This window comes from Homo sapiens, chromosome 1 (genome assembly GCF_000001405.40).
Source record: "Homo sapiens chromosome 1, GRCh38.p14 Primary Assembly".
In the NCBI taxonomy this organism is placed as follows: Eukaryota; Metazoa; Chordata; class Mammalia; order Primates; family Hominidae; genus Homo; species Homo sapiens.
In genome coordinates this window covers 121,006,154-121,031,315 of record NC_000001.11, presented here as the reverse complement: position 1 = coordinate 121,031,315, position 25,162 = coordinate 121,006,154, and the positions used below count along the sequence as shown (strand labels likewise).

Genomic DNA, 25,162 nt, shown 5'->3' with positions numbered 1-25,162 from the left:
CCCTGTTGGTTTCTCACTCACATTCCTTTCTGGACAGATGCCAGCCCTGCCATTTCTGCTGATTCAGCTGCTTTGCCCAGCAACCAAGGAACCAGGTCTGCCCAGCCCTTCCATCCTTCGAGCGGCACTGGCCCAGCAGAGCAGGACACTAGAACACGGTAGCAGTGGCCCATGGGAAGAGATGAGGCCTCAAAAAATGAATGCATCTGGAGACCTAGCCTCCTTCTCCTCTTTGTACCAACCCAACTCCGAAACCTCTGGTAAAACACAAAGGAGCACTTAGTGAAATCGAGCCCATTGGTAGGAATGACACATTCCTTTCCTGGCCAGAGGACTTTTTGGTTCCTCTGTTAGAACCTGGTTCATAAAAAATGACAGGACAATATGTAGATCAGCCAGACAGTGAGAACCAGCTCAGTGCTTGTTCTTTGAAAGTGCCTTCTCCTAGCCACCCTACCTAGGAACTTACTCTGGGCAGGAGAGTAGGAGAAGTCAGGGACATTCTGAGGTGCTCTACAAGGAGGATAAGTTACCTCACACTTAAATGTTGCCTTCTCTCTGTGCTACAACCTTCTTAGGCCTAGATTAAGACTGTCCTGGAATGCTAAGCTCAGATTTCCATGGGGAAGGTCTTCCTTAGGTCAGGAGCTACTGTCGGATGGGAAACTATTTCTACAGAGTCACCCACCCCTACACACTCTTTCCACTCTTTCACACACATCTTTCACACACACTGTGCATACAACCACGTGCCAATCCTGCCCCCATAAACATTGCTTTTGGATTTGGAGCCAAACATCCTGGCACCTGGCAGCTAGGAGTGCAGGTATTTAGAGGAATGGCTTGAAGCAGCTCCATTTCTGTGTCCCAGGTAGTGTAACAATAAGACATTTTAAATTCTCAGAGAAAAACCTGACCCTACGCAAAATCTCCCAGTGGGTGAGGCCTATTCTCAGCCTCCTCTCTCTGTGCATCTTTTTCCTTCCTTGGAGATTGTTCCCTTCTCTCCTGTTCCCCCTCTTCAGATCCTGATACCTTCCCAAGCTCTTCCATGTTCCTCTTTGCCAAAACTGGTTAAAGGAGAACATTCACTATCACTCATTATTCACAGCCTGGTTTAATTTCATATGCACTTACCTTGGTCTTTCTGTCTGTGAGTGAGTGAAATCTCAAAGGCTGTTGAGTCGGGATCATCATCGGGGAGAGGGATGAGGTAGAGAGGGAGATTCTCTGGATTGTTTTCCATACCAAGGAGGTAGACAGCCTTTCCCATTACTAGGCCAGTTCTGCCTAGAGGCCTTTAGCAGTTTCTCACCCTGTGTCCATCTCCCTTAGATGTACTTGGTGGTCTCTGTCTGGGAGGAGGCCTGTGGTGTTTCCTTACAGGGGGCCACCCTGTGATTGAAAGCCCAGGACTTTTAAGTAAAGTTGCCTGGTGCTTCCTGAATGCCCAGGAGAGAGGAAGAAGCTGACAGAAGGATAGAGATAGGTAGGGATCTTGCAGAGAGTTGCCAGGCAGGCCCCACAGCTGCCCAGGGATGATCAGGCTTCCCTACCTCCTACCTCTCCTATGTCTTGGTGGTTTGCAGTAGGGGCCGACCTGCTGGAAAAGAATCTTGCTGAGATACAGAACCTGCGCCAGCGCCTGGAGGAGTCCATCAGTCTCAATGACCGCCTGAGGGAGAGGCTGCAGCATGTGCTTAGCAATGGTGACCAAGGAAAAGGTAGAAAGGCAGAAATTTTATGTTTCTGTCCACGTCTAGGGAGTCTCAAAAGGGCACATAGCTTCTTGGGGCAGAGTTTTACCGGTTTAAAGCACATTGGTGTGCATGATTTCACTTGTTCCTTACAATTAGCCCAGATAGGGAAGCAGAAGGGTACTATTGCTCCCACTGAGTGGTTTGCCCCAAGCAGGGATAGGTCTAATTCTCAGGACTATCTGAAGTGATGTCATTCTTATATGTCCTTATACTGCCTGGTGCTGTTCTTGGGCTTGTGGCCTGACTGGCGAGTGGTAGCACCAAGGTTTCCATGGTGCCCACTTCAGCAGAATGAGAGCAACGTTCCACCTTTATGCCATTACTACATGCCTTTGATATCACCTGGCTCTTCTCTTGTGCTAATGACCCTTATTTCCACACTCTTCACCCTGGATGCTCTCACTTGGAGACCAGTTCTTCCCCATCCCTTCTTCTCTCGTATTAAAGCCAGAAGAATGATGACCTACAACATCATAACTGAAGCCAATTAGTGGGAAAGACCCTGATCCATACCTGAAGCCACTGCACATGAGAGTGTGTGGCCTACTCTGGTGTGCCCAGCAAAACCTGAGCCTGAGCCATATTGCACTGCTATCCCAGTGCATGAGGACCGCAGGTTTTCAGATTAGCTGAGACTAAAACTTTAATGGGTGCAGGAAAGTACATCTTTGAAAGTATCTGTTACCTAAAGGTATGACTTGTCTGGGTTGTTTTTATTCCCTGTGAAGTATCTACCTCCATCTTCCATGGGTAGGACCTGTAGTCCACACCCTAGTTGTGCAACAGGAAAAGGGCTCAGGGAAGCAAACTGGAGTTTTCAGGCTTCCAGAAGGAAAAAAATCAAAGCTGAAGTCACTTCCATATTTCTTCCTTTCTGCAGCAATGCCCAGTTGTAGAAGCAAAGAGAAGTAGGCAGCACAAAAGTTGACCAGATCCACACAGCCTAAAACTATAATAGCTTATTCCCAATCTAGATAAGGCTGCTTCTTAAAAGATCCCACCTACGTGTTCGCAGACTCCTGGCTCCAGGAGTAAATATCTCTGGAAAATCTACATGTCATGTTTAAGTTCCTTTCCCAATCTTTGCAGATAATCAGAGAGTCACTAGCTGTCAACTAGAAAGCTTGGTGTCTCTCTTCCTGTCTTTCCCACTTTCACCTGGGTACGGAATAGGAGAGAAGAAATGTAAGTTTTTGTTTGGTACAATCAATGAATTTCCTAAATCCCTCCAGACTTCATTGCAGCCCTGTCTCTCCCTCCCTAGGTACTGGACAGTCCACTGTAGCCCCTCATTCATATACTCAGAGTCACTCTTCTGGCTGTGGCGAGGACATCCTGTGACATGATGCCTAGAGAGTCTGGAAGAATGTTCTCCAGAACTTTTCCAGCCCTATCCAACAGAATTCTTGGGTGGGAACTTGGAGGCATTGGATATTATCTTTAAATGAAGAGATCAAATTAATAAATTATTTTTAAAATTAGTGTTTATATTTATTTATTGAACACCTATAAAGAGTAAAATTTGTGTAGAAAAGAATAAAACCAGAATGGTCTGAAATGTGTGGAAAAGGTTAAAGGAGAAATGAGTTTTCTTTATTAGCTATCTCTGTTTCAGAAGACTAGAATGGGAATTTCACTGCTGTGGAAAGGTAAGAAATATTAATAGATAGTGAGGATGTAGAATTCCTTGACTTCCATTACATGCTTAGGAAGAACAGAAAAACTGTCACATGTGAAAGAATTGCAGAATAAAATCTGAATGTTTTAAAATGAGGACAACTTACCATACCAGGTGAGCTTCACTCAAGAGAATGACAGAACTCGTGAAGAGCACGCTTGCCTCGAGCCTGGAATATAGCCATTCTGACTACTGTGAGATGATATCTCACTGTAGTTTTAATTTGCATTTCTCTGATGATTAGTGATGTGCATTTTTTCATATGTTTGTTGGCCGCTTGTATGTGTTCTTTTGATAAGTGTCTAGCCATGTCCTTTGCCCATTTTTTAAATAGGGTTATTTGGTTTTGTCTTGTTGATTTAAGTTCCTTATAGAGTCTGGATATTAGTCCTTTGTCAGGTGCATAGTTTTCAAATATTTTCTCCCATTCTGTAGGTTGTCTGTTTACTCTGTTGATTATTTCTTTTGCTGTGCAGAAGCTTTTTAAGTTTAAGTCCCATTTGTCAATTTTCATTTTTGTTGCATTTGCTTTTGAGGTCTTAGTCATAAGCCAATGTCAAGAAGAGGTTTTCCTAGGTTTTCTTCTAGCATTTTTATAGTTTGACGTCCTATATTTAAGTCTGTAAACCATCTGAATTAATTTTTGTATATGGTGGGAGGTAGGGGTCCAGTTTCATTCTTCTGCATTTGGCTAGCCAGTTTTCCCAGCACCATTTATTAAATAGGGTATCATTTTCCTCATTGTTTATTTTTGTCAACTTTGTTAAAGATCAGTTAGTTGTAGGTGTGTGACTTTATTTCTGGGTTCTCTATTCTTATCCATTGATTCATGTGTCTATTTTTGTGTCGGTACCTTGCTGTTTTTGTTGCTATAGCCTTGTAGTATAGTTTGAAGTTAGGTAATGTGATGCCTCTGGATTTGTTCTTTTTGCTTTGGATTGCTTGACTATTCGGGCTGTTTTTTGGTTCCATGGGGATTTTTTCTTTTTTTTTTTTGAGACAGGGTCTCACTCTGTCACCAAGGCTAGAGTGTAGTGGCATGATCTCAGCTCACTTCAACCTCTGCCTCTGGGTTCAAGTGATTCTCCCACCTCAGCCTCTTGAATTAGCTGGGACTATAGGTGTGTGCTACCATGCCTGCTAACTTTTGTGTGTTTTGGTAGAGATGGGGTTTCACCGTATTGGCCAGGCTGCCCTTGAACTCCTGACCTCAAGTGATCCTCCTGCCTCAGCCTCCCAAAGTGCTGGGATTACAGGTGTGAGCCACAATGTCCAGCCCCATAAGAATTTTATAATTTTTTTTTTAAATTCTGTAAAAAATGACATTGGTAACTTGATAGGAATTGCGTTGAATCTTTAGATTGCTTTGGATAGAATGGTCATTTTAACAATATTGATTCTTCCAGTCCACAAGCATGGAATGTTTTCCCATTTGTTTGTGTTGTCTATTATTTCTTTCATCAGTGTTTTGTAGTTCTCCCAGTAGAGATCTTTCACCTCCTTGGTTAAATATATTCCTAGGTGTTTTGTTTATTTGTGTGTGTGTGTGTGTGTGTGTGTGTGTGTGTGGCTATTTTAAATGGGATTAAGTTCTTGACTTGGCTGTCAGCTTGAGCATTTTTAGTGTATAGAAATGCTACTGATTTTTGTATGCTCATGTTGTAACCTGAAACTTTACTGAACTTGTTTTTCAAGTCTAGGAGTATTTTGGAGGAATCTTTAGAGGTTTCTAGATGGAGGATCATGTCTTTGGTGAACAGAGATAATTTGACTTCCCTTTTTCCTATTTGGATTGCTTTTATTTCTCCTGACTGATTACTCTGGCCAGGATTTCCAGTACTGTGTTGAATAGGAGTGGTGAGAGTGGACATCCTTGTCTTGTTCCAGTTATTAGGGGGAATGCTTCCAACTTTTGCCTATTCAGTATGATATTGGCTATGGGTTTGTCATAGATGGCTCTTATTATTTTGAGTTATGTTCCTTTGATGCCTGGTTTGTTGAAGGTGTGTATCATGCAACGGATGTAACATTTTATTGAATGCTTTTTCTGCATCTATTGGGATAATAGTATGGTTTTTGTTTTTAATTCTGTTTATGCAGTGAATAGCATTTTTTTTTGCGTCTGTTGAACCATCCTTGCATCCTAGGAATAAAGCCCACATGATCATGATGAATTATCTTTTTGATGTGCTGCTGGATTCAGTTTGCTAGTATTTTGTTGAGAATTTTTGCATCTGTGTTCATCAGGGATATTGGCCTGTAGTTTTCTTTTTTTATTGTGTCCCTGCCAGATTTTGGTATCAGGATGATACTGGTTTCATAGAATGAGTTAGGAATCCCTCATCCCCAATTTTTTGGAATAGTTTTAGTAAGATTGGTACCAGCTCTTCTTTGCACGTCTGGTGGAATTCAGCTGTAAAATTCTGTCTGGTCCAGGGCTCTTTCAGATTAGTAGAATTTTTATTACTGATTCAATTACATAACTCATTATTGGTCTGTTCAGGATTTCAATTTCTTCCTGGTTCAATCTTAAGAAGCTGTGTGCTTCCAGGAATTTAACTATTTCTTCTAGGTTTTTCTAGTTTGTGCATGTAGAGATGCTCATAGTAGTCTCTGAGGATCTTTTGTATTTCTGTGATATGAGTTGTAATGTCACCTTTGTAATTTCTGATTGTGCTTATTTGGATCTTTTTTTCCTGGTTAATCTAGCTAGTGGTCTATCAATCATTCAAATAACCAACTTTTCATTTCATTGATCCTTTGTATTTTTTTTATCTCTGTTTCATTTAGTTCTGCTCGATCTTAGTTATTTCTTTCCTTCTCCTAGCTTTGGGTTTTGTTTCTTCTTCTTTTCCTAGTTCTTTAGGTGTGGTATTATGTTGTTAATTTGAGATCTTTCTATCTTTTCAAGGTAGGTATTGAGTGCTATAAACTTTCCTCTTAACACTGCTTTTCTATATTCCAGAGTTTTTGGCACATTGTGTCTCTACTTTCATTTGTTTCAATTTTTTTTTATTTCTGCCTTAATTTTATTGTTTACCCAAAAATGATTCTGTTGTTTAGTTTCCATGTATTTGTGTGGTTTTGAGAGTTCCTCTTGGCATTGATTTCTGCTTTTATTCTACTGTTGTCTGAGAAGATACTTGATATAATTTCATTTTTTAAAAAATTTATTGAGACTTGCTTTATGACTGAGTATGTGGTCAATCTTAGAGAATGTTCTGTGCACAGATGAGAACAATGTATATTCTGTGGTTGTTGGATAGAGTATTCTATAGACATCTATTAGGTTCATTTAGTCAAGAGTCCAATTTAAGTCCAAAGTTTCCTTGTTAGGTTTCTGCCTCAGTGATCTGTCTAGTGCTGTCAGTGGGATGTTGAAGTCCTCCACTAGTATAGCATGGCTGTCTATTTCTTTGCTTAGGTGTAGTTGTATTTGTTTTATAAATTTGGGTGCTTCAATGTTAGGTGCATATATATTTAGGATAGTTAAATCTTCTTGTTGAATTGAATGCTTTCTGATTATGTAATGCCCTTCTTTGTCTTTTTTCTTTTTTTAACTCTTGTTGGTTTAGTCTGTTTTACTTGATACAAGAATAGCAACTCCTGACCTTTCTTGTTTTCCATTTGCATAACAGATCTCTATCACTTTACTTTGAGCCTCTGGGGGCTATAACATGTAAGATAGGTCTCTCTTAAAGGCCATGGAAAGTTTGATTTTTTTTTTTTCCCAATTTGCCACCCTATGCCTTTTTTTTTTTTTTTTGATGGAGTCCCAGGCTGAGTTCAGTGGTGCGATCTTGGCTCACTGCAGCCTCTGCTTCCTGGGTTCAAGTGATTCTCCTGCCTCAGCTTCCCGAGTAGCTGGCATTACAGGCGCCCACCACCACGCCCAGCTAATTTTTGTATTTTAGTGGAGATGAAGTTTCACCATGTTGGCCAGGCTGGTTTCGAACTCCTGACCTCAAGTGATCCACCCACCTTGGCCTCCCAAACTGCAGGGATTACAAGTGTGAGCCACCACACCTGGACTACTCTATGCCCGTTAAGTGGAACTTTCAGGCCATTTACATTCAAGGTTAATATTCATGTGTGAGGTGTTATTTCTGTCATAGTGTTAAGCTAGTTGCTTTGTAGACCCAATTATATATTGCTTTATAAGGTGTACGAGCTTTGTAATTACATGTGCTTTTATGGTAGCAAGTACCATCCATATTTAGAACTCCTTTGAACATTTATTATAGAGACTATCTGGTGTTAATGAATTCCCTTAGCATTTCTCTGTCTGGGAAAAACTATTTCTCCTTCATTTATGAAGCTTAAATTGGCAGAGTATGAAACTTTGACAGGCAGTTTTTTTTTTCTTTTAGGTGGCTAAAAATAGGTCCCAGTTTCTTCTGACTTGTAAGATTTCCGTTGAAAAGTTTGCTGTTAGTCTGATGGGATTTCCTTTATAGATAATCTGGCCCTTTTCTTCAGCTGCCTTTAAGATTTTTTCTTTCACATTTATCTTGGGAAGTCTGATGACTGTATGCTTTTCAATGGTTATCTTGTATAGTATCTTGCAGAAGTTGTCCGAATTTCTTGTATCTGAATATCAATCTCTCTTGAAAGGTTAGGAAAATTCTTTCCTGAATTATTCCTTCAAATATGTTTTCCAGGTTGCTTACTTTTCTTCTTCTCTCTCAGGAATGCCAATAAGTCATAGGTTTGATCGCTTTACATAACCCCATAATTCTCAAAAGCTTTGTTCATTTTTAAAAATTCATTTTTCTTTACTTTTGTCTGACTAGGTGAATTTGAAAGACCAACCTTCAAGCTCTGAAATTCATTCTTCTGCTTGTCTAGTCTATTATTAAAGCTTTCAATGTATTTTGAAATTCCTTTAGTGAATTTCTCAATTATAGAAGTTCTATTTGTATTTTGCTTAATATAGTTTTCTTGTCTTTCATATTCTGTATTGTTTTTCTGATTTCTTTGCATTGGACTTCAACTTTTTCTTGGATCTCATTGAGTTCCCTTGCAATCCGTATTTGGAATTCTTATCTGTCATTTCCAACATTTCAGTCTGGCTAGGATCCATTGCTAGAAACTAGTGTGATCCTTTGGAAGTGTGTAAATACTCTGGGTACACTGGAGTTATTGCACTGATTCTTTCTCATCCGAGGAAGCTGTTGCTTCTTAGTTTTGAATTTGGTATTGTTTGGATGAGGATTTTTAATTTTTTTATTCTTTTTTTCCCTTGATGGTATGACTGTGGTGTATGTTGTGTATGATTGTTTGGCTTCATTTCTGGGTGCTTTCAGGGAGCCCTAGCTTTGTATGGGTTTCTTGGTTGTGGATAGCTTCTGAGCAGTAGCTTTCTCAGATGCTGCTTGTTGTGGTGATGTATTGGAAGTAAAAGCTAACACACTAACCCTTGTTGGGGGCTGAGGGTACGGAATTCTCAGGAAACTTATCTCATGGACTAGCACTAAGCCCTTTGGTAGCAGGGTTTTTGAATTCAGTGGTCCAGTTTAGGATGCAGTTCAGTAGATGGTGCTTAAGAGTCAGGGCTGTTACGTAGGCTGGTGTCCAGTGGAAAAACCTGCCCTGACAGGATGGTGGGAAAGAGATCATGTCGGGGTGTGCTGAGGTCTCAGGGGAAGGGGCAGAGGTGCACTAGCTCCTCCTCCTGAGTAGGCAAGAATGTGATCCGCTTCCCTATCATGCCCTGTCACAGAGCTCACAACCTTCATTTTATAAAGACTTTGTCCTTTGGTTCCTGGCTGTGGTGCAGCTGAAGTCTGTGGATATGCCACTCTGACAGCTACCACTAAAATGGGGTTTAGGGCAGAGCCTCTTCCCCGAGTCCAGGGCAGGCAACTCCATGGTCTGTCCTCCATTGCCAGGGCACTGCAGCTCTGTATAGGGAGGGAGAGTTGCGCCCGTCCTTCCTGAAAGCCCAAGCAGCACAGGCTCACTTTCAGCCTGGGTGGTGCCACCATGAATAACGTGCATAATTTTCTCTCCTGGTGCACACTCACTGGGTCCTGGAGAAAAGAACCACTGCTATGTCTGCAGCCATATACGGGGTAGGAGAGAGATGATCCCTGCTTTTCCTGCTTTTCCACTCCTGTTCCTGGGTGTCAATGCTGCCCCCTTCTGCGATTGGTGCCATGCCAGTGTTTTCTTTGTCCCTAGGAGGGCTTTGGGACAGTGAGCAAACAACTGTTCTGATAAACGCAATTTAACCCGCGACCCTTGGCTTGCTCAGGTCGTGGGGTTGGGCCGCCTTTGCGCTTTTCCTTTGGATCTGCCCTTCTTCTGGGTTTGTTCTCTCGAGCTAGGGGAAGGCCTGGGTCCCCTCTCTTTGGCTCCTCTTGCCGTATCAGAAACCTCACACTCCTTCCTTTTCCAGAGAAGCTTCAGAGTGCTTTGTTGGGTTTGCTGGAACTCGGCAGGGCGCAAGTATGTGAGGATGCGCGCTGTGAGTCTCTGTTTCCTCCGCTGTGACGGCTCTTCCCGCTCCTGTAGGAAAAGGCAATGCCCCTTTTGTCTTGTCTATGTGGGACTCCAAAGGGTCCAGACGAGACAGAAAGGGGGCGAATCCTCTCAGAGTGGGCAGGGGAGGAGATACAATATGGGAATGGGGCGGTAGAGGGGTGGGATTTCATGAAATTTCCTGATTTAAGGCGATCATGAAGTAGGCCTCTTTGGGAGCTTGGCCCTCCAGTCGCTGGTAAGGGTAACAGCCCACCAGTCTCTGGTGAGGTCCAGTCGCGTCCCCCGACTGCATTTAGAGCCAAAAGCAGAACGAGGCCGGCGCTGCGGCCTGGCGTCCAGTGACCCAGCGGTCTGCATATTCTGCAGGGTGGAAGCACTTGGACTTCAGGTGTGAAGGCAATGCGGTCACCACCGCAGTAAGAAAAGCAACTAGGGAAAATGGCACCTTCTTCTCCCAACTTTTTTTTGAGACTCTCGCTCTGTCGTCTAGGCTGGAGTGCAGTGGTGCGATCTCGGATTTGGAAACTATAATAGAAACGGCTGATCTAAGATTTTCATGGTTATATTTTGCCGTGCAGGTTCCGCCTGTGGTTTCCGTAGTGTAGTGGTTATCACGTTCGCCTCACACGCGAAAGGTCCCCGGTTCGAAACCGGGCGGAAACATAAGTTTTTTTTTTTTTTTTTTTTTTTTGTTAGCCCTTAAATTTAGTGAGTTTACTCGAGGTTGGAAAACAGAAAAGTAGTTGAACCTGTGACTACATTTTAGACCTCATCAATCTATACAGATTGTCGACCAGGCTACAATTTCCACTGGTCTGCCAGGAAGAGGACGTCACAGCAGGCCTGCTTAATATTAACTTTGGTTCCAGCAATTCCTTAAGGTTCTCTTCATTCTCTTTATCGCCTGAATTTTCACAGGCAGACACCGAAAGTGGATGACATGTTAGCGCATTTCCTAAGGGTCCAGCTTGGCTTCGCTTTACTCTGATACAGTTGCAGATCTGGCTGATTTGCGAGACAACAAAAACAAAATGTTTTTTAAAAACGTTCCAAATCTGCATCTGGAACTCATGGAGTCAATATTCCGAAATCACACGAATTATGTACATACATTTGCATGCATACCCCTTCCCCAAATAATCCTCAGAAAACCGGTAAGCGTCCAAACTACTCTCCGGAGGCTTAGGTAATCAACAATTTAATAAATACAATTGTTAATGTATGGTGTACAGATCCTGTATTGCCCACCCTTCTCTATTGCTTTGTCCCCGCGCGCCCTCTGTTTTGCCTAAATGGGTTCCAGGCCATAGCCACCGACTCTCGCTTTGCCTTCTGGCCTCTCGGCAGTGCGCTTCAGCACCATTGCGCCAGGTGACGCTGCTGAGAACAGCTGAGTGGCCGGCACTAGTGCAGCTGGAAGCCAAGGCCCAGAATTCTCAGGAATCTGCACTTTACCCAGGCGAAAAGCCCAAGGGCTCTCCCCACAGCTTCCCAACATCCTTCTACAGAGTTTTTAAATATTAGACTTATTAACCTGTAGAGGTGGAGAGAATCAAAGAAATCACAAGGTATCTCTGAGGGAAAAAGAAGAGCACCAGCAGTAAATCACTTAAGAGTATTGAACCAGCAAGCCAGGGATAGGAGAATGGAATGGAAACTGACAGGATGACTGCAGAGGATGGTACTGAGGGTGGATGCGAACCACTACTTACTATTAATATATTGAGCCAAGCACACTAATGGGGGCATAACCAAAATACTTAATAGGGCACTCTTTTACCCACCATGTGTTTTACAATATAGTTGCTAAAGGATGTATCACCCTACTGGTTCTAGAAGCTTCTGGAGCCAAGGAGCCAGAGCATGAGAGCATAAAAATCCTGTCAATTGAAGCCTTGGGCTCTACACTGCTAAGCCTGGCCCAGAGGCTGGATTGCAAATGCAGGTGCTAGTGTAATGGAATGGATGTTTGTGTTCCCTTCATATTATATATTGAAGCCTTAACCCCCAATGTGAAGGTATTTTGGAGGTAGGGCCTTTGGGAGGTAATCAGGTTTAGATGAGGTCATGACCATGGGATCTCCATGATGAGATCAGTGTCATTATAAGAAACAGAAGAAAGACGAAAGTGCTCTCTTTCTCTCCACCATGCGAAGACAGAAGGAGAATGTAGCAGTCTGCAAGCCAGGGAGAGAGCCCTCACCAAGGAGGTGAATCAGCTGGCAGTTTGATCTTGGACTTCTCAGCCTCTCAAACTGTGAGAAAGAAATTCCTCGTGTTTAAGCCACCCAGTCTGTGGTATTTTGTTATGGAAGCCTGAGTTAAGACAGCTGGTTCACTGGGGAATCCACTGGTGTGAACCTGTGAAAAGTTTGTGACATGTGAAGTAGTTTGCTGCTCCTGGATTTGAGTATTGGCAAGAGCTGTTAGAATGATGAGCATAGAGGGAAGAAGGGTACAGAGAATATGGTATTAATCATTGTACTGAAGAAATAAAGGGACATTATATGGCTCTAGGCTGAAGTTATGTGCAGATTTAAGCTGTGGAAGGGTCACTCAGCATACAGTGTGGCAAGTGAGTGGTGCATACTACACTGGCTGTAGGGAGTCCAGTTTTTTTTTGTTTGTTTTTGTTTTGTTTTTTTTTGAGGTGGAGTCTTGCTTTTTCACCCAGGCTGGAGTGCAGTTGTGTGGTCTTGGCTCATTGCAACCTCTGCCTCCTGGGTTCAAGCGATTCTCCTGCTTCAGCCTCCCGAGTAGCTGGGACTACAGATGGGTGCCACCACGCCTGGCTAATTTTTTTTTTTTTTTTGTAGTTTTAGTAGAGATGGGGTTTCACCATGTTAGTCAGGATGGTCTCAATCTTCTGACTTCGTGATCCGCCTGCCTTGGCCTCCCAAAGTGCTGGGGTTACAGGCTTGAGCCACCGCACCCGGCCAGGAGTCCAGTTTTTTGTCTGCTTATGTTAATGGATGCAAGAGCCGATAGATGGAAAAGTGTGGTAATAAAGTGGCAGTAAGCTTGTGGAGTATCCAATAAACTTAAACGCTATTTTTTTGAATTGAACTGAAATTGTTGTGTTATGAAAATGAGAGAGTTTATCCAAAGAAAGATCTGGCTTGGCAAATAGGATAGATGGTGGTGAGGATAAGTGTGCTAGGCAGGGCTAGAAACAGGTTTTAGTGATCATTGAAACACCCAGGGCAGTGCACTACTCTTTGGGAGATGCTGTGCTTGAGTCTGATCATTGGGTTTTGAGGTAGAGGGTGGTACATATTGCTGACAGGGAACTCACCGGTGTGTTGAGTTTTAGCATCTGTGACTCTGAGATGCATATGAGGCCTTTGTAAATTTAGAAGTTGAGAGTAGAAAGTACAGGTTTGTATTTTAGAAGGAGATTTGGGAATAAATATAGCTCTGGTTGATATAGATAATATGTTAAGGTTTGTTGGCCAGAGCTGGTGTGTGTCTTGGGTGTTGGGCAAAGAACAGAGAACAGTCAAAGCTCTGTGAGGTCAATGTGAAGGGTGATTTCCTTGTTGGGCTCAAGTTTATGACCCAGCCTGGACCTAGCTTGGCTTCTCAGCTAGAGAAGAAGCATGATTCCATGTCACAGCTCCTGTCTTTGAAAAAGTCATAATGACTCGCAGACCCAACATGTGGGGCAAACTCTCTGAATTTTTCTCTTCAGTTTAATCTCTCCAGGGAAAATTGAGAAAAGAAATCTCTCTACTATTTGAACTTCATCAAAAGACTAATATGTTAATATTTTGACCATCAATATTTCCTTAAACTAGTCTACTCCTTACATAGCTAATACATCAAAGCATATTAACTTAGGAAATTGGATTCTCTCTAACAATGAAATATTGACTGCAGGCATTATTAATCTTTTTATATCACATTTCCTTTAAATGCTTTATACATCTTCAAGCAGACAAATAACAGTATTATGGTTACAAGACTGATCATTACTCTTTTGCCAAAAAAACCAGCGACAAAAGACTAACTCAGTGGACCAACCTTTGTTTCTTCATTATCTCTACCTTGATTCTGTCCTTTTATTTCCTCTTTCCTCTAATTCTAATTCTGCTTCTGCTTCTTATTTCCTCCCTGGATTAGAACTTTACTTACCTAAGCTACCAGTTAGGTTACCTTCTCAGAACCACTAAGGCAGCAGTTTGACGTTGACAATTGAAGATTTAGGATTAGAAAAAAGAAACATGAATGAATTTGTGACGTTTTATTATAGGGGTATGTAATGCAGGTAGAAAGACCTTTTTCAGAGTTAAGAGTTTGATCCGACAAATTAGCTATTTTGATATTTATAACTTTGTTTAGTAAAAGTTTCCTATAAAAACATTTGGTTTGGATGTCTTTGTTAGCTTTGAGTCGACACTTGAAAAGGCCACTTGGAAGTTTCTAAGTCTTTCTGGATACTCTTTTTGATAATTCTCCCAGGGTTGCTAGAGAGAGGCACTGGTGGTTCAGTGGTAGAATTCTCGCCTCCCACGCGGGAGACCCGGGTTCAATTCCCGGTCAAGATAAGAGGTATTTTTGCTCTTCACTATGGCTCTTTACCCTTCTGCCCTGCAGAATTACACTGCATAACCTAATAGTGCATTTAAGGGCTTGGCCACCACAAGGTAAACTGACAACAACGCTGACCAAAGTAGCAGCAAAAGATATTCAGGAGACTAACCCGGGACCCACGCAGTTGTTGGACTCAACAAACCGCTAAGCAAAGTGGCAAGCACGTAGTGTTTCTGGTGAGTCACTGCAGTTTTGATATTGGTACCTGTTACTTTCATCTGTTCTCTGGGCGGATTCCTGCAAACCCAAGAACCATCAGTTTCCTGATTCGTGTGCTGGACCTTGGGCTTACCGCTGAGCCACTACGGAGAGGAACAAGAAATGAAGCTCCCGGAGGGAGAGAAGCTGCGGGCGGGGCAATCACCTCGGAGGTCCAAGAGGCCTCAGCGGCCCAAAGAAAGGGGAGGTGTGTGCGGGAGAATCTCAATGGAGATGAGGAGAGCAGCGGTGACTGGTCCTTGCGCAGAGTGGTCCTTGCACAGAGGTAGCCAATGGACCCTCGAGGCTGTACCCCAGACACCGCGAACCGAATTTGCTAACATCTTCAGCCACCGTGGCCTCCGCGTGTTTTGTGGGCCCATCGGTGTTCAGTGAGGGATTCCGTGTGTCTGGCAATGTGTGTCAACAGGTGTTGGCCTGAAATTTGGCCGGGCACGGTGGCTCACGCCTGTAATCCCAGCACTTTGTGAGGCCGAGGCGGATGGATCGCTTGAGGTCAAGAGTTCAAGACCAGCCTGGCTAACATGGTGAAATCCCGTCTCTACTAAAAATACAAAAATCAGCCGAATGTGGTGGCGTGCACCTGCTATTCCAGCTACTTGAGAGGCTGAGGCAGGAGAATCGCTTGAACCCGGGAGGCGGAGGTTGCAGTGAGCCAAGATCGCGCTACTGCACTCCAGCCTGGGCGACAGAGCAACTCCGTCAAAAAAAAAAAAAAAAAAAATGGAGCGAAAGAAGGGAGAGGTGTCGATGGGACAACGAGACTTCCCAGGAGGCTTGTTGTAGAGGCAGTGGCCAGGTCCTGAGAGATGAGATGTTTTTTAAATTATGTAGCGGAATGGGGAGAGAGTAACGGAGAAGCGCATGAAAGAGAGAAAAGCACGAAAATCTGCAGACGTTCGAGAATAAAGCAGAGAAAATAGTATGAGTGTTTTTACATAAAAAAATATAAGAAGTACAATGGTTGTCAGCAGGCTTTTTGGTCGTGTAGTGGTCAATACTTGTAGCTGTGGTTGCCGCAACCTGGGTTCTAATCTGAGTCACAGTAGTGTTTTCTCTCCTGCGATTGTAGCTAAAAGACCTGTCGTTTGCTTTGCCTTTAATCCTAGCAGCCTCCAGAGAGCGGAGTAAACCGCTGGCCCGGAAGGGCGCCAGCTTCTGGAGTTTAGTCCACAGTGCGTAAACTAGGGGGCGGCCTGGCCAAAATGAAAACTCGGACATGCTCTTTGTCTCACAATGGAGCAGAAAAAATTCCCATAGGTGAAGATGCCGCCTCTCAAGGGCCCTTTGTCTGTAGCTTCCACTGATGAAATAATACGGTTATAGTCTCATCTGGTAGAGAAAACGGCTGTATCAGTGGGATTTTTTAAAAACACAAAACGAGAACGAGCTTTTAATGAGTTTACAATAAAATCTAAACTAGTTGTCATGGTCTACACTGGCTTGCCTCCATTCCCCATCCGCTAATTTTTATGAGAACAGTAAATTATTACTATTACTATTATTTTTGAGATGTAGTCTTGTTCTGTCACCCAGGCTGGAGTGCCATGGCTCAATCTCGGCTCACTGCAACGTCCCGTTTCCCGGGTTCAAGCAATGAGAACAGTAAATAAACTACAGTTCACATAAAGTGCACAAATCTTTAGTGCAGTTCGTTTATTTTTGATGAATGTAATCACCACCCAGCTCAAGTTATAGAAAATTGCCATCATCTGAGAAAGGCCTGTTAGAGCCCCTTTCCAGGCAATTCCCACCCTGTGTCCTCTTAGTTAATCACTATTCTGATGTCTATTCCCATAGGTTACAATTGCCTGTTCTTAAAGTTCACATGAGTGAATGGACATATCTTTTGTATCTGGCCTTTTTTCTGCAGGTATGTTCATTATACTCATGAGATATATCCACGTAGTTTCATAGATCACTTCTCAATTTTGGTGTTATTGAATTCTTGTGATGAATATTCTTCTACAGGTCTTTTTGTGCACTTGAGATTCATGGAAGTACTTCAATTGCTGGGTCACGACCTGAGTACAAGTTTAACATTAGTATAAATTGCCAGTCTTCTAGAATGTTTTTTCACCAGCAATGACAGTTGAAGTGGCACCAAATTCTTGTCAGCATTTGGTGTACTAACTTTTTAAAATGTAGCTATGCTCTCAGACCAAACTGGCCAACATGGCGAAACCCCGTCTCTACTGAAAATACAAAAATTAGCCAGGCATGGTGGCATGCACCTGTAGTCCCAGCTACTCAGGAGGGGGAGGTTGCAGTGACTCAAGATCGCACCAATCGCACCATTGCACTCCAGCTTGGGTGAGAGAGACCCTGTCTCAGAAAAAAAAAAAAAAGTAGCCACACACTGTTGATTGGTTAGTGGTATCTCAGTGTGGAATTAATTTGTACTTGCCTAATGAGCAATACTATGAAGCATATTTTCTTATGGCTTCCAGCATATAAGAAATTCTCCTTTGCAAAGGCCTATTCGAATATTTTGCCCGATTTTATTTGGCTTAGCTCTATATTACTGATTTATGAAAGTTCTCTTATATATTCAGGAGTTGAGTCATTTTTCAAATAAATATATTGCAAATGACTTCTCCCAGTCAGTGACTTGACTGACAACTGAAAGCTGTCAACTGAAAAATCACACAATTTATAAATTTAGAAAGGAGATTTTATTTTTTTATAAAGGGTTACAGCCTGCAAGTGGCCATTCTGACAGACTGGGAGGCATAGCTTCCTGCTGAAACCCGAAAAGTAAGTTTCCAGGGAGGGGAGGGCGAATAGTGATTTACGTTGATCTGGTTGGCCACATATACATATTCAACAGGGAATAGGGGGAGCTCTGAATATTTGTGAAGGGATCCTGCTGCATGCATGCTGAGTAAACATGCCTGTTACATGCAACCCATGTTCACTTTGGGGTGGAGACAACATTTAAATACATTATAATTAGGCCCTATGCTTCAAAAGGTGAAGCAGGGACACAAAGGCAATCAAGTGCATAGCTTCTGTAAACTGTCCAGAACCAGCCCACGGCCAGTGGTCTCTTACCAAGAGAAAACTACTGAAATCAGTCTCTTGTCCAATCAAAGCAGTAGTTATGGCTTGTGTAGGGAGGGCTCAGTCAGTTTATGGTAATAGGTGAGCTGCAAGTGCTTCAGCATTGCTTATCTCAAGGCCAGTGCTTGTTTAGCTAGAGAAAAAAAGGAAGAAGAAAAAAAAACTGGCAATTAGAACATAGTGCCTACTGCCACACACATACCACCAAATCCTGCACTCCAAGCTTCTCCTTCTGCACCCTGGACTCCCAACCTCCAGTTAGACAATCCACATCTTCCCACACCTGCCTCAGGCTCCATCAGGCCACTGTGCCTCCCATAGCAACCAGGCCAGGGGGGATCTTGATTCCTATTACGTTTCTGAAGAAGGTGGTCAGGGGGTGTGGAGGATGTAGGTGGGAGGGGGTGAGGTTGAGGGCAGAAGTACACTGTGGTCTTCTGTCTTCTACCTCATTGGCCCAGGTGCTGCTCTCCCTCTGGTTGTCTGCTTTCAGCCCTTCGTGGGAAATCAGGTCTGCACCCTGATCTTCCTGACTCTCATTTTGTGAGGAACCTGAACGGATGAGACGTCGCTCTTGTCCCACAGGTTCTGTCCAAAAGGTGCCCTCCTCTCTACTTGCTCGGGGGCCTGCCCACTGAGCTCTGGCACTCAGGCTGGGATGCCGCCCAGTACAGAGGCTCTGCAGCCCTGCAGGGGTCTGACTGTTCCACACCAGCAGGATACAGGCCACAGGGCATGCTGTGGTGGAAAAGCATTCAGAGGTGTGGGCTGAAGGCTTCTCTTTCCACAGTCCCTTTGAAGATCCCATGGAAGTAAGCACCCCTTTGAGGAACAAGGTGGCCCAAGGCCTGGCTTCACATGCAGGCTCTTGTGTCCCAGTGGGTCCTCTCTGTGCCTGGTATAGCCGACTGCTTCACACATCTTACCCGGTTTCCTCTCCTCCACCACCCAAGCTCCTCCTCGACCCCCTTGCTCAGCTGTCCTTAGGACAGCAAGATCCCCAGCCCTTGGAAAAGCCCCATCTCCAGTGCTTGGGGAGGGAGTTGGGTTCAGGTCTTCTAACCACAGAAGAACAGAGAACCTGAGGCAGGAGGGAATCCCTTCCCTTGCTGGGTCTCTTGGCACAGCCCATCTAGGGGTCTGGGTCAGGGTCCAGGTATCCTCTACCCTCCTTGAGGACCTGAGTTTTCAGGTCCCCGGGGTTTGTCAACGTAGAGTCTTTCCCACTGTTCATCTGGGAACTGTAGGAATATCCCATGGGGCCCTCTCTTACTCATTAGAGACACCCAGAAAGTACTCCTGCAGAATCTGGGTGCAGTGTACCAGACCACAATAATTCTAATTACAGGATGTGGAGGTCAGATACGTTTTGTGACTATTTTCTCTCTGTCTGTGGCTTGCTTGCCTTTTCACTTTCTTAGTGGTATCTTTTGATGAGAAGGTATGGCTAATGTTGATGAAGTCTAATTTATCATGTCTTTTATATATATTTTTTCAGTGTCCTACTTGTTGGTAGGCTAATCTTTACCTACAGAGTATCCTTGAAATGCTTTATATCTTTAACTTTTAAGTTTTGGTGTATAATGCACCTCAAATTACTTTTGTATGTAGTGTGAGGGAGAATAACATTGTTGGTCTCCCCCACCTCCATATGAAAGTCCATTAATTGAAATGATTTATTTTCTTCTATTGAACTGCTTTCATTGAAAGCTCATTTATTGACTGTATGGCTGTGGATCAGTTTCAGGTCTCTTAACTCAGTCTGTTTATCTATTTGTCCCTCCTGATGCCTTGTCTATAATAGCTTATAGTAAGCCTTGAAGTCAGATAGTACAAGTCCTTGTTCTTTTGCACACATTGCAATAACTGAGTCTGGATTTAGTCCCATTAGTCTGAGTGGGACTAATGCCACTATAAAAGGGACCCCAGGGAGCTCTCTCTGCTCCCTGAGGATACAATGAGAAGGTGGCAGTCTACAACCAGAAAAAAGTCCCTCATCATAACCCTACCATGTTGGCACCTTGATCTCGGACTTCCAACCTCCAGAACTGTGAGAAATAAATTTCTGTTGTGAATTAGCCACCCGGTTTACATAGTTATGGAAGCCCGAACTAAGACAGAGATGGAATCCCATGGAGGGTCTCTAATTTGCTGAGCTGGTCATCAGGTGGGATGTTGCAAGTTAGAAACAAGAAGAGCTGACATTTTGTGCATATGAAAGAAGATAGTGGACAGGCCCATTGTCGTCGGCTTTGTCCGCCTTGGCGAACTGGAGACGGAAGCTAGATTCACCTTCGACAGCCACGGGAGGACCGGGAGGACCTCCAGAGGAGGTTAGGTCGACCTCATGGTAACTTTAGATCCTGAAAACTCACAGGATTTTTCTTGTCTTCCCTTTGATCTCTCTTCCGCCTACTCAACAGGACAGGACTCACCGCCTTTCTTTCCCGTCAGAAAGGGATCCCTTCCGGACAGGACAGAAGTGAGCAGATGGTTTCCCCTACGTGTCTTTCCGGGCCTGGGCGTCTCAGGAGCTCAGGCTGACCTGAGACCTAACTCCTGGCAAGTGGGACCAGCAGGAGCCTGGAAGAGCGCGCGCACCGGGGTGGAGGTTGGGCGCCGGGGGTGGAGAACCGCAGTCAAATCCTCTTCTTCCCCGCGCACCGCGCATCTGCCCCCGGGGATGCCGAACGAATTGGCCCATAAAGCTTCTCTGCAACGGAAAGAAGCCTGAAGCTCCAGGAGGTGCGAGAGGAGCCTCGTTGAGCGAGCCCAGCCCTCTGCCCGGCTGGCCCTGGTCAACAGGCTCGGAAGAGGCCGATTTGGAGGACAGAATGGAAGAAAAGACCTAAAGGTTTCGAATCTCATGATGTGGAGATGTTAAAGCCTAAATCCTAAGGTCCGACTGTGAGGGGGAGCGAGGGTGTCTCGAGCTGGATCCACCCTTGAGCCTTCACCTGGAGAGTCCTCTGCACAAGTTCAGAGAGAAGGACTACGCGCAGCAATGGTTCTCAACAGGGGGCAACTTCGCCCTCACATGCCTCTCCCAACCCCGCTGGGACACTAGGCCGCGGCTGGGGGAAGCGGGAGGGAGAATGTTATCCCCCTGGCATGTGTCTAGTCAGCGGAGGAGACAGATGCTGCTAAACACCTTGCAATCCACGGCGGGAGGGCCCTTCCCCCACCCCGAAGTAGCCATTCGGCAGAGGTGGAGAAACTCGCGTGTAGATCAATGCCCACGCACTTGGCCGACGGAAATCACGAATTGGTGACCAATTGGATCTTGGATCTGAGGAAAAAGCTCCAGCTTCAGAGGGAACTCTCGAAGTTTTGCCCAGAGCAAACGGAGGGGTTGCGTTGCCATCGCCTAAAATGGGAAAATGGCAGGCGTCACAGGTTGCAGGGGAAGGTTGGAGACCAGTTGAGTGCCCCGGAGCCTTCCTGGAAAGAGTTTCCTATCCAGCCCGTCTCGGTTTCCGCATCCGTCTGATTCCTTATGATGTTGAGGGTGCCGGGGTCTGGGTCCTTTATGATGCAGAGGGTGCCCCCGTCTCACCTCGGGCGCCTCCCCGCTCCCGCCTCCTCCTGGCAACCTGGTGGGCGGCTCCGGACGCGGCGACCCGCGACCATCTTGTCAGTTGCTGCCGCCTCGCAAAGGGCATCTCTAGGCCAGTGGTGAGCTGCGGCCGCGTGGCCGCAACTCGCTCCAGTACTCAGGACTCCCTCGTGGAGCCCTTGGTGTGTCGCCTGCAGGTTCTTTTTTTGAAGAAAGCAGGGAGTGAACGGCCTTGTGAGACGACTCCAGGAGCAAAGAGCGACTCTCACAAGACCCAAGTCCTCCTAGAGCACAGGAAAGTGTCGCTTCAGGTCGAAGAAGGGAGAGAAAGCAGCTTTCCGCATCTGCATGGTTGTCTAGTGGCTAGGATTCGGTGCTGAAAGCGTCACGGCCCGGGTTCGATTCCCGGTCAGGGAATTGTTTTGCACTGGCCGCCCTCCCGCAGAAATCTTCCTTTACTACGCTGTCAGCCGGCCTGCTCCAAGGGTCAGATGTAGAACAGCCTCCTCAGCGAGGGGCAAACCCGGGCAAAGGAGGGCAAGTCGTGGTGGGCCACCTCTCACGTTTATCTCCGTGTCTGTCATCCGCAGAAGCGGCTTTAGAGAGCGACTGAGCGTCTCGCTCAGGTGTACACAGCCGTGCAGAGAGGCCAGTCCCCGTGGAGCTGCACTTAATAAGCTCACCCTCTTTGCCGTCGCCGCCCCGGAGGTGCCTATCGGGCTGAGCTGTGAATAACTAAGAGAGAGGCCAAGCCAAGTCATGGCGTTTGTGCGTGCCCTGGACATGGGCACCGGTCAGTCAGCGGAGCCTCCTCACCTCCGTTCGCAGCTAACATGCTCGTTAGGCCTTCGGAAGAGGCGACCGGAGGCGATGCCCGCGAATTTGGGAGGGGAGTGAGCGGCGGGTGAGGTCCTCAAGGGCGGTCCCTTTTGCTGATTGAGCGGTAGAGGGAGGCGATGTTCGCTGACCCAACAAAGACAGCAGGTGGAGTAGGCACAAACGGAAAACTGTTGCCGGTGCCCTAAGCAGAATGCAGGTGTAAAAATCAGCACTAGGACGTCAAAGCGATGGTACCACAGTCAAATCCCACAATGTCTACACTCTACCAAGCACTTGCTCACGCTCCCCCTTTTCCATTCAGTATTCCCAAGAGGGGTTCGGAAGAACCCCGCGTCCACTGTAAGCTCAGGGGAGAGCGGGAGCCAGGGAGGTGAAGTGCACAGACTGGACAGAGGCGGCGGGCAGAACCGCGGGGGTGAGAGGGCGCGTGGTTGCGGGGCGGGAGCCGCTGCTGAAAGGCGGCCTGGGTTGTCGTGTGGGGTGACTGTCGGTGGAATCTTTGGCAGAGAGTGGTTTGGAAGAATGGCGAGGGGGGCAGTGGGTAGGGTGGTGACCCTGAGCGTCCGGCCAGGGCGAGGACGCTGTGCTGTCCCTGTAGGGCATGCGCTCATTCCCACTTACCTGGCAGGAAAGAGACCGTGGTCACGAAGGGGGTTCTCCCAGAGTGAAGCTTCTTCATCGCACTCTAGAGTTGCTGATCTCTGTGATTTCTTCAATGTGGGAAACGGTGTTTGTGCTAGAAGAGGGCTGCGCTCTCTACCTAACATAAACGGGGTTCAAAACTGACATCGCCTAACGCCTACCCGAAAACGTTTACGTGGCTTCCTTGTCTCTTTGTTTTTTCTGTCCTAAAGTCGCCTTATCCTCACACCCCCTCATTTTTTTCTTCCACACTCGAGAGTGTCTCTCCGTCTCATTAAAAGCTCCACCAAATATTTGAAATATCTCAACCAGAAAGGCTGCAATGAATACAGTATTTCATTTGTGGAAGCTACAGACCAGCTAGGTTGAGAGTTGCTTGATATTTTCTGCTAAACCGTGAGGCATAGAGCACTTGGAAGGTTTCTCTTTTGGCCTTTGTTTGTGTACTATTGGGTTTCCTTCTTTTCCCCAGACCGTATGGCGCTGTGGGGCCAGCGGTAAAACCTGCTTTCTGGCTGCAGATAAAGGCCGCAGCTGGTGCAGGAATTAAAGGCAAACCAAAAGACACGTGGGTTCGCCCCAGTGGGTCCAAGATAGAGTCTGACTGTACCAGGATTCAGATTAGAACAGAGGTTGCTGCAGGCACAAGGCAGGGTACTAACCACTATAGAATCCCAATGCGCCCCACACCTACTGCCCGTCGTTTTGCTTCCCCACCCCTCTTTTATTTATTTATGCATTTTTTTTGAGAGACAGAATTTCGCTTTGTCGCCCAGGCTGGAGGGCAGTGGCGCGATCTCGGCTCACTGCCACCTCTGCCTCTCAGGTTCAAGCGATTCTCCTGCCTCAGCCTCCTGAGTAGCTGGGACTACAAGCGTCGCCACCACACCCAGCTAATTTTTGTAGTTTTAGTAGAGACGGGCTTTCACCATGTTGGCCCGGCTGGTCTCGAACTCCTGACTTCAAGTGAGTGATCCACCCACCTCGGCCTCCCAAAGTGCTGGGATTACAGGCGTGAGCCACTGCGCCCGGTCCCCCGATTTTTTTTTTAATGTAAAAACATTTATGCGATTTTTACGTGTTTATTCTTGGGCAGCTACAGGTTCTTGTGATTTTCCCTCACGTCTTCTCCAGTCCATTCTGATACGTGTCCCATCTTCTCTGCATCCAGCCGGTGCCCTCTGCACCGGCATCCTGGGCTGTCCCATTGTCTCGTCCTGGTCTCCCCTGCTTCTCCCTCCTTCTTTTCAGGTTTTCCCTTTTGACTCCCCTGCCTCTTTCCCGCTCCCGCCCCACCAACCCCATCTACTGAAGCCGAGTTGAGTGAGGGGATAGCAAGCGGAGTAGATGATTGCCTGAAGGCGGCGCAAAAAAACAGAAAGAGCTACCATGAGAGCCGTCGGGGCGTTCAGCTTCCCTTGGGCCCTACTAGGCTCAGGCTGGGGTCGCAGATCCAGGCATTTCCAGAGGCACTAGCTTCTGAAGCAGGCGAGGGTTAACGGAGGGTGAAGGCCATTCGGCCGCCCTTCTGGTTTCAGAGTCAGGCAATGCAAGCGTTTCTAACGTGGAACAACACGATTAGTCGACTCAGCCTCTCCGGTTTTCCGAAGCTTTGTAGTCTGCACAGTTGTCCTGCAGAAAGCGAATGGCAACCCCTAGAGTTTAGTGATTGCTTAATCTATGTTGAGATGAAAGCGACCAACTGAGGTTATCTCCGTGGAGCAATTGGTTAGCGCGTTCGGCCGTTAACCGGAAAGTTGGTGGTTCGAGCCTACCCAGGGACGTGCTTTTAAATGTTGGTTAGTTGTGGTCAGGCGCGGTGGCTCACGCCTATTAATCCCAACACTTTGAGAGGCCGACGTAGGGGAAGCCTCGCCTGAGCTCAGTTCAAGACCAGTGAGAATCCCATCTCATTAAAAAAAAAAAAAATTGCAGTTGTTTCTCCTCAGGCCTATCACTGTATTTAAAAAGTGAGATATTGTTCCCTTGTGTCTTGTGCATCCTATGAGTACACAAAGCAAAAGGTCCCCCTCCAAGCCTCCTATAAAATAAGATCCCTCCAGATCAAACTAGGTTCCATATAGGCTGGAGTGCAGTGGAACAATCTTGGCTCACTGCAACCTCTGCTTCCCGGGTTCAAGCGATTCTCCTGACTCAGACTCCTGAGTAGCAGAGATTACAGGCGTGGGCCACCACACCGTACTAATTTTTGTATTTTTAGTAGAGAGAGGGGTTCACCATATTGGCCAAGCTGGTCTCAAACACCTGACCTCAAGTGATCTGCCTGCCTCAGCTTCCCAAAGTGCTGGGATTACAGGCGTGAGC

The 25,162-nt window shown here is 45.8% G+C and overlaps 1 protein-coding gene, 2 non-coding genes and 3 pseudogenes across 4 annotated transcripts in view, besides 3 other annotated features; all 6 read left to right on the top strand.

Annotated features, from left to right (window-relative positions):
* Positions 1–25,162, top strand: part of PDE4DIPP4 (PDE4DIP pseudogene 4) — a 66,476-nt pseudogene that overhangs the window by 20,852 nt on the left and 20,462 nt on the right. The window lies entirely within an intron of this gene.
* Positions 166–3,180, top strand: LOC124904394 (myomegalin-like). The gene is made up of 4 exons (XM_047438017.1): positions 166–260; positions 1,590–1,724; positions 2,850–2,945; positions 3,025–3,180. The coding sequence occupies exons 1-4, from the start codon at positions 182–184 to the stop codon at positions 3,099–3,101; spliced, it is 387 nt and encodes a 128-aa protein (XP_047293973.1). The 5' UTR covers positions 166–181; the 3' UTR covers positions 3,102–3,180.
* TRV-CAC5-1 (tRNA-Val (anticodon CAC) 5-1) lies at positions 10,515–10,587 on the top strand. Its single transcript has one exon. It is a non-coding gene; the product is annotated as a tRNA-Val (tRNA).
* Positions 14,341–14,400: a silencer, noted in NCBI's record as "silent region_1253". NCBI's record gives its function as "represses an Ori minimal core promoter by ATAC-STARR-seq in GM12878 lymphoblastoid cells {active_cell/tissue: GM12878}" and the evidence as "EXISTENCE:reporter gene assay evidence [ECO:0000049][PMID:35858748]".
* Positions 14,401–14,471, top strand: TRG-CCC6-1 (tRNA-Gly (CCC) 6-1). Its single transcript has one exon. It is a non-coding gene; the product is annotated as a tRNA-Gly (tRNA).
* Positions 18,479–18,980: an enhancer, noted in NCBI's record as "H3K4me1 hESC enhancer chr1:149675697-149676198 (GRCh37/hg19 assembly coordinates)". NCBI's record gives its function as "activates a minimal SCP1, AML or CMV promoter by ChIP-STARR-seq in naive H9 embryonic stem cells {active_cell/tissue: H9 hESC(naive)}" and the evidence as "EXISTENCE:reporter gene assay evidence [ECO:0000049][PMID:30033119]".
* Positions 21,435–21,936: an enhancer, noted in NCBI's record as "H3K4me1 hESC enhancer chr1:149672741-149673242 (GRCh37/hg19 assembly coordinates)". NCBI's record gives its function as "activates a minimal SCP1, AML or CMV promoter by ChIP-STARR-seq in naive H9 embryonic stem cells {active_cell/tissue: H9 hESC(naive)}" and the evidence as "EXISTENCE:reporter gene assay evidence [ECO:0000049][PMID:30033119]".
* On the top strand, positions 21,601–21,872 carry TRF-GAA10-1 (tRNA-Phe (anticodon GAA) 10-1; annotated as a pseudogene).
* LOC124904640 (uncharacterized) lies at positions 22,809–22,954 on the top strand (annotated as a pseudogene).